We start from the raw sequence: 13,838 nt of genomic DNA, 5'->3' as shown, positions 1-13,838 counted from the left end.
CTGCGTGGATAAGCAACATCTGTGAAAAACTAGCCCTCCTCTCCAACATGCAGATATTTATAACCAGACCAGAAAGCTGCTCAAAGACATCATCATTAAGTTAAAGAATAATCTGTAATTGTAGACCATAGTAAAACCAAGTGAGCTCTCAGAGGTTACTAGGTCAGTGGTCCAATCCTCAGCACAGAAGCTGAGGCCCCTCGGTACTCTCTCACATCAGTGTCCTGCTTCCTCTAGCCATGGAAACTCCTGCTTCCCAAGACAGTGTATTGCACTTTCAGCTACTTGTTAACAATGTGTCTTTATATTTAGCAATAAGCTCGTAAACTTCACCCTTTGGTCCCAGTTCTACCTGCTTGCAGCCATGTACAGTAAGTCTGAACCAGGGGTCTAACCCTGGCTACACCCTGGAATCACCTGGGGAGCCTTTAAACCTCTGATGCTTGGGTGCTTAGAATCAGTGAGAGGGGAACCCAAGCATCAGTATCTTATTTATTTATTTATTTATTATTTAGTTTTTGAGATGGAGTCTCACTCTGTCTCCCAGGCTGGAGTGCAGTGGCCTGCTCTCAGCTCACTGCAAACTCTGCCTCCCGGGTTCAAGCAATTCTCCTGTCTCAGCCTCCCGACTAGCTGGGATTACAGGCCCCTGCCACCATGCCCAGCTAATTTTTGTATTTTTAGTAGAGACGGAGTTTCACAATGTTGGCCAGGCTGGTCTTGAACTCCTGACCTTAGGTGATCCACCTGCCTCAGCCTCCCAAAATGCTGGGATTTCAGGTGTGTGCCACCGTGCCCAGCCACATCAGTATTTTTTAAACTCTTCAGTTTAAGCTTACTGACTAAACCCTTTTCCACACAACATTTCATTTAGTTTAAAGATGCCTCTCCTGAAGGCTGTGATTTCCAACTATCCCTTTAGAGCAATGCCAGGCAATTAGCAGTTATTACTTGCAGCCCAGGAGAGGAGACGTATATGGAAGCCACCAGGGAATGCCTGGCAGCTCAAAGGCAGCGGCGGCATTAACTTGGTTCCTTTCATGTTTATACAGGTTTAACCAAATAGATAAATTTAAAGTGTGATCAAAATTTAAAACTTTAGTGTTTTAAAGACATTAGCAAGAAAGTAAAAAGACAATCACAGAATGGGAAAAATATTTGCAAACCATATATCTGATAAGAGTCGGGTATCCAGAATATCTGAAGAACTATTACAGCCCAATAATAAAAAGACAAGTGACCAATTTAAAAATGGGAAAGGATTTAAATACTTTTTCCCCAAAATAGACTTTTTTTATGTATCTTCCCAAAGATATATATATACACACAGCTTTTCCCAAAGTTATTATATATGTGTGTGTGTGTGTGTGTGTGTGTGTGTGTGTGTGTGTGTGTATACATGATACAGCTGCTTCTCCCACTCCCATATCATCACCATAACCATTTTTGAATGTTACAAAATTTACCAAGATTTTTGCATTGGCCATAATTTGCTCATAATGATAAAAGTAACTTCAATAAATGTTATTTAAAAGTCAATTTTCTGGCTGGGCATGGTGGCTTATGTCTGTAATCCCAGCACTTTGGGAGGCCAAGGTGGGCGGATCATGAGGTCAGGAGGTCGAGACCAGGCTGGCCAACATAGTGAAAATCCGTCTCTACTAAAAATACAAAAATTAGCCGGGCATGGTGGCGAGTGCCTGTAGTCCCAGCTACTTAGGAGGCTGAGGCAGGAGAATCGCTTGAACCTGGTAGGTGGAGGTTGTGGTGAACCGAGATCGCACCACTGTACTCCAGCTTGGGCAACAGAGTGAGACTCTGTCTCGAAAAAAAAAAAAATAGTCGATTTTCTGAGATAGCCCATCTGGCTGTGGTGGGAAACCTGGGGGCCTCTTAGTGCTACACTTCTCCCTGTTCTGGCTCTCCACCTGAAGACCCCAAGGCCAATGTTAGAGACAGGGAAGTAGGGCCCTGAGGATGAAACATGAATTTTCCAAACAATGACTACTTGATTTTAAATTCAAGCATTGCCTGGAAGAGCCTTTTAGAGACTCTTTAAGGCAAATAAATTTTTTTTTTAATTTTTGGATTTAAATTAATTGAGTATTTTGCTTTTTTTTTTTGCAGATACTAAATATGATTGTTCATAAAGCAACTGGAAAACAATACAAGGTAGTGTTTATTCAGGAGCTAAGTGGTGTGGTATCAGTTAAGTACAATGAGAATGAAGGGGAAGACGAAATACAGCATATGTCTATGTCCTAATATTGGTTGTCATGATATTAACAGGGCTTTGCATGTACTGCTTCTGTGCAGGGCTCTTGTTTGGTCAGTAGAATTCTCTAATTATTTTAAAGATTTCTGTTTCAAATTAGAAATTAAAAAGTCAATTTTGTATATTTACATATAAATTATTTTGAAAAAAAAAACACTGAAATATTGGATGTGAACAAAAACTTAGAAGCTAATTTTCCAGATTATTTCTAATAGCCAAAAAGAGATAACACCTGAATTCAATAATTAAGGGTTGTTAAATCAGTGGTTCTCAATATTTAGCAATGTGTGGAGAAATTTTTGATTCTCACTACTGGGTGGATGCCATTGGCATCTGGTAGATCAAGGCCAGGGATAAAGCAAAGGACAGGCCCCCAAAACAAACAATTGTCTTGTCTAAAATATCAACATCGCCATGGTTAAGGAAGCCTGGGTTAAAAAAATGGAAGTATAACCATTTTGTGGCATGCTGTGTAGCCATTAAAATAATAGTACAGATTAGTGACTCCCAACTCTGGCTGTATATTAGCATATATGATGCATAATCTGAAGAGCTTTTAAAAAACCTGCTCCCAATTAATCAGGATCTCGCTTTCTTGGGCAGGACCTAGGCATGACTATGTTTTATATTTTTTCCATGTGATTGTAAGGTATGGCCAGAGTTGAGAACCACAAATTTAGGCTTATATAATATAGAGACATTAAATGATATGGAAACATATACATGATAAGTTTAAATAAATCATATGACAAAACCATGGATGGTATAACTAAATTTTTATTAAAAATATATAAGCTGTAAAATATATGTGCACTGTAAAAATATACATCCACTCTAAAATGGTACCAATGTACAAGAGCACTTATCTGCATTTTCTGACTTTCTTACAATGGATATATATTGCTTTGTAATAAAAGACAATAGATGACTCTGTAAAATAGTTTGGCAGTTTCTTATAAAAACTAAACATGTTATCAAACAACCCAGCAGTTGTACTCTTGGGTGTTTATCTCTGAGAAATAAAAACTCCTGTTTATACTAAAACCTGTACATGAATGTTCACAGCAGATTTATTTGTAATAGTCAAAAGTAGAGATGCCCAGATGTCCTTCACCAGGTGACTGGTTAAATAAACTGTGGCATATCCACACCATGGACAACTTCTGAATGATAAAAAAGATAAACTACTGATGTATGCAACAACCTGAGTGAATCTTCAGAGAATTATGCTGAGTGGAAAAACTCAATCCCTAAGGGTAACACATTGTGTAATTCCATTTATATAACATTTTGAAATGACAAATTTATAGGAATGGAGAACAAATTAGTGATTTTGAGGAGCTGGGGGTGGGTGAGGGAAGTAGGTGTGGTTATAAAGGGCAGCATGAGCAATCCCTGTGCTGATGGAAATGTTCTGGATGTTGAGTGTATCAGTGTTAACATCCTGGTATTGTACTACCGTTTTGTGGGGTTTTTTTGTACTGCAGTTTGGCAAGATGTTATCACTAGGGGTGAGTGACTAGGTGAAGAGTGTAAACCAAGAATAAAATTCTAAGGCCCCCCCAACCATCTGAATGGACCCTCCCTCTCAGCCAAAGGCATTCCAAAGTTAACCTGAAAATCTAGTTCAGGGCATGATGGGAAGGGGGAGTTGGGCATGCCTCACTGTACCCTCCTTCCTTTTGGAATTCAGGAAGAGCCAACTGGCATTAATATCAACACAGACCTTAAATACGATAAGAAACATTTACAATCTATTCTCTCTGAAGCCTGCTACTTGGAGGCTTCATCTGCATGATAAAACCCCAGTCTTCACAACCCCTTATGGTAAACCAGGCATTCCTTCCTATTGATAATAACTCTTTCAACCAACTGCTGATCAGAAAATGTTTAAATCTAACCTGTGACCTGGAAGCCTCTGCTTTGAGTTGTCTGGCCTTTCCAGATCAAATCAATGTAAATCTTACATATATTGATTGATGTATTATGTCTCCCTAAAATGTATAAAAAGCAAGCTGTTCCCCAACCTCCTTGGGCACATATTGTCACCACATCCTGAGGCTGTGTCACGGGTGCACCCTTAACCTTGCCAAAATAAATTTTCCAAATTGATTGAGACCTATCTCAGATACTTGGGCTCACAGGGGTTAACTGGGCTTTCTCTATTATTTCTTAAAAGTGCACGTGAATCTACAAGTATATTCATAGTTTAATTTTTAAAAAGGCAATAGAAATAAATTTTAACTAGAAGAAATGACTACTATGTTGGATCAATCCCTGCTTTAAGAAAATTTATCTTTCAAATAGTAACAAAATGTATGTGTATTTTGCCATACCAAAAAAAAAAAAAACCCAAATCATTGCTGTATGAAATAAAAATATCCATTACAATTCTAAATTAGTGAATACAGTAATTTAATTTTCAGATAACACAGCCTCCCTTCTGATGGCATAATGAGGGGTTACTACATGGTTTCCTCTTCAGCGAAGTTACTTATCCTCAATGAATAGTAATATACAAATGACAGGAGGAGAGGATAGATTGCCGAGAATTAGCGTATCAGCCCTCTCATTTCCTGATGTGTGTAAGTTTGAGGAACCCCAGGTTTAACCCCACATCAGTGGAAGTGTGGGAAAGGACAGACCCAGACAGGAACAGGCACTGTTCGAGTACACTGTTATCAAAGACAGTGGTTCTCAAACTCAGAGGGCATCAGACTGCCAGGGGGAACATGTTACCAACCAGACTCCCCCAGACACATCTCCAGATATTGACTCTGTGGCTTAGGGGTGTGGCCCAAAAATCTGCATTTTTATCAAGCACCCCAGTGAAACCAGATTTTCGAGAACACTGCTCTCAGGCATGCTGGGAGCTGGCCTGGGTCTGAACTGCCCAAGCAGTGACTGCAGCCCTCAGCAGAACAACAGATTTTGGTTATCTTCCCTTAAGGAAGATTAAAGGGATTCTCCTAGTTCAGGAGCTTATAAAGCAAATTACAAGATTAATTGCTAAGAACTGAGTTCACACCAAGTAATGGACTAGATGTGGATGCTTAACTGAAGAGGAGAGAAGAATATTGGTGGCCACTCTGCTGTGAGGATGAACCCATAGCCAGGTGTTCCCCAGAGCTCTGGAAAATGACTGGGTGTGTGAGGAGGGGGATTTTGAAGGAAGCTGGTCTTCCCAGCACTGGTTAGGAGCAGCACGAGAGGAATATATTGTGATCTTGCTTTTTACCCTTATGAGGACCAAGGTAGCTTGGGAAGCAGCTTGTTCCATACAGACGAAACAAACTGCAAACAATAAACATTGCCTAGTCCTAGATACTTTCTTTAAGCTCTCGGTTTTGCCACTGTATTGGGCAAAAGGCTCCATATAAAATAGGAACTTGTTGGGGGAATGGAGAGATGATAGCTAGAGGGTACAAACTTTCAGTTATAAAATGAGTAAGTTCTGGAGACCTAACATACAGCATGGTGATGATAGTTAGTGGTAACCTGTACTTGAAATTTGCGAAGGAAGTAGATCTTAAGTATTCTCACCACACACACACACAAACACACACACACACACACACACACACACAGAAAAAAGGTAACTATGTGAGGTGATGGATATAATTAGCTTGATTGTGGTGAACATTTCACAATGTATACATACATCCAAAAATCATGTTGTACATCTTAAATACTGTATATAGTACAATTTTTATTCCTCAGTTATACCTCAATAAAGCTGGAGGAAAAATAGGAACTTTATTCCTGTCTGCTGTCACAGCCACTTTCTCAACTTGTACCATCTCTCAGATCTGTTTCTGATCCTCCTAGCTACTAACTAGCTTCGTTTGTAACTTCTTTTTCACCCGTGTCTGCCCTTCTGCATCGGTTTCTTGGCTATGACTTTTGCTTCTCTCAGTAGTAATCCTGATTATTCACTTCAGCTGCTTTGCCCTGATCATATCAAGTACATGCTCTTTTTAGCTTATTGTTGCTCCAGGAACGTCTACACCCTGTTTCATCTGGATGAAGATGCTCTGCCTACCAAGGTGCCCCATCATCTGGCCACCCCCGAGTGCTGCGGATGGTGGCTGTAATACCACTGGTGAGGAACTTGGCTAGAAGTGGCCAGAGTAGTGTCTCTTTTCTTCTGCCTCTTCTTCTTTCAGCTATCCAAGTTTGGTCTTATCTGCTTGGACATTCCATATTTGGTCTGTTTCACACTGGGTCATAGTCCCTGTTGACTCTTGTCTTACAGGACTTGTTAAGGAATGGCAAGTGGTATCTTCTCATATGTCAATTCTAATTGATTGTTATTGGCAGCAGTGAGTGTGGTGTTAAGAGGAGTAGGATCTGACCTCAGTGTGCCATAATCAATTAGTCATGCCTCCCTAGGGCAAAGATGCGGGTAGAGTTTTGCATTCTGAGAGGCTGACATCTTTGGACTGGACAGTTTCTTCTTTTCTTCAGGGCTGATGCATTCACTGCAAGTGCCTCACATGATCTCTTTGCATTCCTTTACTCAAACCCCAATCTTTTAGTAAAAAAACTATTTCTAGTGCATTAGCATTTTCCATTCATATTTGCTATAAAAAAATCTGCAAAGCAGAAACTGCAGGAATTGTGTCTTTTCTCCAAAGAGAACATACTCTGCCAAGGCCTTTCGCAGAATCCATTTTGCAGCTGTAGTCTGGGAATTGTACAACTCTTCCTAGGTTCGTATTGGAAAAAGAGTAGCTTCTGGGCTGAATGCTATCAGGAAAGCTGTCCCCAGTATTCAAAAGCTCTTTCCTTTATGGCTGTTTCTTATCTTTTCCTATCAATTGTCCATAGTTACTGATCTCATAGGACAAAATGTCTCTGTCTTATAGCTGAAATGTGAATACCTAAATCATGGAGGTTAGCACACCCAGTTACATTACTATTCCCTACACAAAATCAGGGCATTTCACATCCAGGCATTCCTACCCATGTTCATTGTTTCCTACAAAGTATCATCTTCACAAAGGAGCACTCACTCAACTTACCTTGTAGTGGAAGAGAAACAATCCACAGAACAGGCTGTACAAGTCTGCTGTGAGCAAGGAGAGGTTGACTGAAGTGGCACTGGTTTTCTTTATGACGACTGGCATAAAGCTGTAGAGACCAAACATGCAGGCACTAAAGCCAACGTAGAGCAGTCCTGGGGGAAGAGTAAAGAGAAGGCAGCGTCAGGGCCTCCTCCAGGGCATCTTCAGCATCCACAGCAGGAAAGAAGGGGAAGAGTGCACACCACTTGTCACTCACACAAGGCAGTTTCTCTTTTCCCCTATTCACTGATGTTTATTATTGGATAACACAGTACAAAAATTAAACTAGATTAAAAAAAATTAAGTGTGAAAAATGAACTTTCTGCTTCTTATTGCATTGCTGACATTTTGCTTCTTCTGGGAAGGAGTGCCTCTTAGTGGCGATAGTCAGAACACAGAATCAAGGTTTTTGAATTCTCCCAATTGTGCTGTAATCAGCTTTTGCTACTCATCTATTTTGAAACTTTTTTTTACCTCTTAGTTTTTAATTTGAGTAATAGCAACAAAACTGCTTGCTATCATGTATTGCCCACAATGATGAATAACTACGTAGTCTTTAAAGTTGAAGAGCTTGCATGTCAAAGAGACCTGGACTTAGAATACTGAATTAGAATCTTGACTGTGTGGCCTTGGGTGGACGAATTCATTGCTGGGAATACATGATGATCTGTCAGTCTCCTCCAGATTTCTGAATTCTGTTCTGCTCTACCCAAAACACACAGAATCCTGCCCTTCCATCACATGTCCTGGCATACTGTGAACTCTCACATGTGGGCTTTCATGACCTTAAAATACTATGTGGCCAATCTCTCATCCTCAAATCTCTCTCTTTCTCTGTAATTATGCCTAGACATGGGTACTCTGTTTTGCAGGGTCCCAAGCAGGAGTTTACAGCTAAATCTATACTTTCCCCAAATGTTGATACAATGCAAATGTAAAAAAAAAATAATGCTCTTTTCTCCACCTTGAAAGAATAAGGCATAGGATAAGCATAAGTGCTAAAATTCAGTGTCTGCCTTGGTATTACAACATAATAAAAATAACCTTTCCAAAGGAATCCTTGATTAAATGTATCTGGTGTGGGCTGTGGGCAGATTTGCTTCCTCTGACTTAGGGATTTTGGGGAGTTTGGTAGGTACCGAATATCTGGTCTTTCTGACTATGAAGACCAGGGATTCATCCAAAGATAAATTGGGTTTACCCATATGAAAAGTGCTTAAGGGCACAAATCATCGTTCCATATGAAAGCCACATCAGATCTACAAAAAAATTATTCTGAACATAAGTAAGTAAACTCAGTACAACAGCCCCCTCTAGCGTGGTAGAAGTGCCCTCAGAGGAAGGGGGAACAACCACTTTCCTATTTCGGAAAGGTAAAAGTCCTACGTGTAGATTCTATCGCAGTAATATTAGTTTGGTTTTTAATTCTCTATCAGAAGCTTGAATTCTCTAAAAACGGACCGTTTTTCTGCATGTGGGTTTCATGCTCCCTGTAGTGCATTTTCCTTTTAACCAAACTACTAAAAATGCAATAAGTATTACATAACTTATGACTAATACATGAAAAGACATAAAAATTAATTTGGTACTCCTTAAAGAAATCTGTGATTAACAGACTAGGGACAAGATCAATCCTCAAATTAATCCACTAAAAATAATAAAACTTGATCGGAACACAATCTAGGCACCAGAGCCTTGTTTCCGTTTTTCTTTTGTTTTTTGAAGGTGTCACTGATTTAAATACCATGACTGGGTTAGAAAGTTCCAGAATAATACCCTTCCATCATTTTGCGTGGACTTTGACTTGTGGGCTCTGTTGGTATATTCACTCATTTATTCAACTATTATTCTCTGAGTACTAACCATGCCCTGAGCACTCTGCTGTGGGCTAGGAACAATGAAAAACAGGATAGACAAGAAGCTTAGAGTTGCTATTAATGCTATGCAGAAAGACAAGTGTTTCTTAAAGAGAATGTCAGGAGCTTGCTTTAGACAGGGTGGTGAGGTAGGGCTACTTTGTGGAGGTGGCATTTACCTCGAGTGCTGAAGGACCAAAAGGAGATTGCCAGGAGAGGAGCCAAGGAAACCTGCACATGAAAAGTTCCTGAAAGGGACAGGGCCTCAAGTGTCCCAGATGCTGACCAAGGCCACAATGGCTGAGCAGAATGAAGAGAACGGGCAGAGGAAGCTGGAAAATTGGGAAGGGAATGGATTATGCCAGACCTTGCAGGTCTCAGAAAGGAATGTGTATCTTATTCTAGTTGTACGAGGAAGCCATTGAGGAGTTTGCGGCAGCTGACTAAAAGAATCTGATCTACATTTTCAAAAGGTGATTTTGGCTACTCTGTGGAGAAGGGATTGGAAGGAGAAAAGCATGGGACCAGTTACAGAGACCAGTTAGAATGGCGGTGTCACAATCCCGGCAAGAGAGGCTGGTAGCTTGCTTGGTTTTGCTCGAAACGGCAGTGGAGAAGGGAAGTGGTCTGTGAAGACTCAAGAAGCCCTGGTGATAGACTGATGTAGGTGGTGAGGGAAAGGAGAGCATGGAGGATGCCCAGGGGTTCTGGCTAATTTAGAAACTAGGTGAACTGTGACGCCATATACTGAGATGGAGGGAGCTAAAAGAGGACCAGATTTTCAGGAGAAATAAAATGCTCCATTTTGAATGTGTTGTTTTCGACGCTTATGCATTATCCAAAAGGATCTGTCCAGTAGGGAGCTGGATATATAATTGGAGGACTCAGAGAAGTGGTGAGATTTTACAAGCCCAGTTGGTGAGCAAAGGAGAGTAGGGAAATAAATACATGGCACTTTGCTAACCAGGCTACCTTATGATGCTTCCAGCTAAAATATTCTCAACCTATTTTTAAATGTTGCAGAAATTAGAGGTAGGGGGACAGGAGTGGAATATATACACTATCACAATTGACAACTAGGTCAACCGATGTTTTTGCATGTGAATATACTGTTTCCCAAGCAAAGCATAGCCAGCCTAGTTAACACATGATTAAATTGAGAGTTGGAATGCAGTATCGTTGCCCTTCCTTGGCTGTTCTTAGATGGACATTAGATAGTTAATGGACATTAACAATGCCTCTGAAAGTCCAACTTGCTGTCCAGGTAGGGTTTTCAATTGATCAGCATGATCATACAAATGAACTGAATTACTTTTTGACTGACAACTACAAAATGGCTGCAGTAACTACATTTATAACAGAGTATGTGTATAAACATTTCCTCTTGGAATGTTCTCTCTCTCACTAAGGATAGAATTTGATCACTCTTGTCCTTATGCACTAAAGTGATTTAAGCTACAGAGATGGGAAATACTATTATCAGCTAATATGGATTGAGCACTCACTATGTGTCATGTACTTTATGTACAGTAATTAATCTCCACAACAGTGTAATGCTGATAACTATTGCTATCCTCTTTATACAGGTTAGGAAATAGGCTTATAGAGTCAAGAAACACAGTCCATACTGGGTTAAATAGAGGATATGTTATATGGAGTACAAGTTACAAAGGTGTTCAAATGGGTGATGGGGAAACAGGGATGGTGAGACAACCTGAAGATTAGCAATACCAGGGAGTTACTCACAACCCAAGAGCTAGGGAAATACAAGAGGGAGGCCACATTACCTGAGATCAGAAGTTAGGGAAGCCCAGCAGGGGTAGAATCACAGAGGAGACTCAGCCACATCTAGAGGAGATCTGACCCCAAACAGAGGGACACAGAGAGAAACAATGGTTTCTTTCTTTCTTTCTCCCACCTCCAATCTCCCTCTACTGCCTCCCATTGGCCAAAACTGACTGGAATCCAGTTGACAAGGGAGGCTGGGATGTGGATTTGCATAAGCAGAGCAGAGGAAAGGGTAAAAGATGGATCTGTGAGTAAACAGGCAACAGACCAGCTTACAGGGGTTAAGTAACTTGCCCTTAGGTCACATAGGCAGCCTGACTTTAAATTCTGAATACATAACACTCATCTATATTGTTTAATTATTATAAAGAGAAATAAGGCTTTGAAGGAACATCCTATTTGACTCCTATCAATACCTCAGTTAATATTTTATATATATATATATATAGAGAGAGAGAGAGAGAGAGAGAGAGAGAGTTACTATATATATATAAAGTATGTGTCTGTATATGCTACATATATTTGATTTCGTCTTTTTCTTTGGGATTTCAGTTGTGTTCTTTCTCTTTATTTTGAACATACCAGAGTTTTAAAATATTATTTGTAATTCTTAAAAACAATAGCTAGGTTAGATGACTTCTCAGAACATATGCATTAGGTTAAGTGTATAAAGGGCACTGGGCTGGCTTTGCTCAGATATGTAATGCTCGTCAAGTCACCTCAACTCCCTAGGCCTCAGATTCAACATGGGTAAAAAGAAAGGTGTATTGTTTTTTTTTTTTTGGGACAGACTCTTGCTCTGTTTCCAGGCTGGAGTGCAGTTGCGTGATCCCGACTCGCTGCAACCTCCGCCTCCTGGGTTCAAGTGATCCTCAGCCTCCTGAGTAGCTGGGACTACAGGCATGCACCACCACACCCAGGTAATTTTTGTATTTTTAGTAGAGGCACGGTTTCACCATGTTGGCCAGGCTGGTCTTGAACCCCTGGCTTCAAGTGATCCGCCCGCCTCAGCCTCCCAAAATGCTGGGATTACAGGTGTGAGCCACTGCACCTGGCCAGGAAAGGTGTATTCTTAATTATCCTTTAGGTCTTTTCCTGCTCTGTAGTCCCATTATTCCATATTCAGGGAGAGGCCAAATCTTTCTTTTGTTTTGGCCTCCAGGAAAAACACTAAAACCAAAACCAAGACAAGCATCAACCACAACATCAAAAGTGAAGAAGGCCCCTGCATACCACAAGCCTGTGCTCACTGACCCGGCACACTTTTTCTTTTCTCTGACATTTGACTTTCACATTGATTGCACTTGTTCACACATCCTTTAGCACAGTATGACCCACAGTATGACAGTATGACCCGTGGGGTAAAGGGAATGTTTAAGTTGTTTATTAGACTTATGAATGTGACTCTAACATTCCTGCTCCCCAGAAGGGTATTTTTAGCTGTATTCGATCATACATTTTACTTGAGTTTACTGATTAGATAATCACAATCAGTCTTTCTGTTCAGTACTGTAAAACAATGGAATAAAAACAAACAACAATAACTATTATCTTCTTGCTTTTAATTGCTCTATATTTTGCAATTGGCCAGTGTTGTAGGAAAATAACAAAATCTGTTTTTAAAAGTGCTTCGGGTTAAGAAAATAGAAAACATGTATCCCAAAGGAAAAAATAGAAAACATATTTATTAACCCCAAGGAAAACAACAACAACAACCATCTTTCCACTTTGATAAAATGGCAACCACATGAGTTGTCCAAGAGATTATATGAGGTTAGATTACTAATGTGGAAAGTGGGGAGGCAGAGAAATTCATTGACAGATGCTGAGAAATGAAGGCTTATTGGATTCTGGTCTCCTAAACAGAAGAATGTGAGCTTTCCATCAGGACATAGTCATCAGAGCTTGGCCTCTCGGGTGACTTCTCAAGGAGTGTGGGGTGGGTTTGAGAGGGTGCTGACCTTCCCTTGATATCTCCCTGCCTCTGTGACCCATGAATTGCAGTGGCTGTTATGCCATCTCCCAGTTCCACAGAAAGAAAGTGCAATGTCAAGCTTAAAGTCTCCTGCCATTGTCTCCACTTCTTCCCTTTTGTCTGTATTTTGTGAGGTGAGAGAGGAAAGAATAGGACCATCTTTGTTGCTTGCCATTCATTCATTTGCTCACTTAGTAAACATTTATCCCCTGCATGCCATGTGTCTAGAACTGAGCTAACAACACAACCTTGCAGTAGGTCAGGGCGAGATAATGAGGACCAAGGAGGCCCTGGTGTAAACACATCCCAAACGCAACCCTACAAATGCTTCAGAAAGAGGAAGATGAGTATTTGATTCCCCTTTGAGGCCATTTTTTATTGATACATAATAATTGTACATATTTATGAGGTACATGTGATAGTTTGATACATGCATGCAATGTGTAATGATCAAGTCAGGGCATTTGGGATATCCATCACCTCAACCATTGATTAATTTTTTTGTGTGTGTTGGGAACATTCTAAATCTCTTCTAGCTATTTTGAAATACACAATAAATTATTGTTAACTAAATTCACCCTACTGTGCTATGGAGGCCATTTTGGCCTCATTTCCAATCAGAAATTAAATGGATGGCTCTGTAATGTGTTCCTTTTACACTGTCCTTCATCATCTTCAACTATAGGGGACTGACGTTTTAATGGCAATATGAGAGCTCAGAATAAAACTATCTTTTGATGACTCATTTAACTAACACTGAATTATAACAGAACCTCAGTGGATATGCACATGGCATCCACATAGTTTGAGGACAAATTCTTTTTGATCATTACTATTACCATCAATATAAAATTAATTTATACTCATGGACCACTGCA

General features: G+C 40.2%; 1 protein-coding gene across 2 annotated transcripts in view, besides 1 other annotated feature; it reads right to left on the bottom strand.

Moving 5' to 3' along the window:
• Positions 1-13,838, bottom strand: part of SLC35F1 (solute carrier family 35 member F1) — a 410,408-nt gene that overhangs the window by 25,034 nt on the left and 371,536 nt on the right. For both annotated transcript variants that reach the window (NM_001029858.4, NM_001415931.1), the window contains exon 7: positions 7,300-7,454. In NM_001029858.4, the coding sequence (NP_001025029.2) occupies positions 7,300-7,454 (155 nt within the window). The remainder of the gene's footprint in view (positions 1-7,299; positions 7,455-13,838) is intronic.
• Positions 12,257-12,316: a silencer, noted in NCBI's record as "silent region_17500". NCBI's record gives its function as "represses an Ori minimal core promoter by ATAC-STARR-seq in GM12878 lymphoblastoid cells {active_cell/tissue: GM12878}" and the evidence as "EXISTENCE:reporter gene assay evidence [ECO:0000049][PMID:35858748]".

Source organism: Homo sapiens, chromosome 6, assembly GCF_000001405.40.
Source record: "Homo sapiens chromosome 6, GRCh38.p14 Primary Assembly".
NCBI lineage: Eukaryota > Metazoa > Chordata > Mammalia > Primates > Hominidae > Homo > Homo sapiens.
This window is presented reverse-complemented; position numbering and strand designations above follow the sequence as displayed.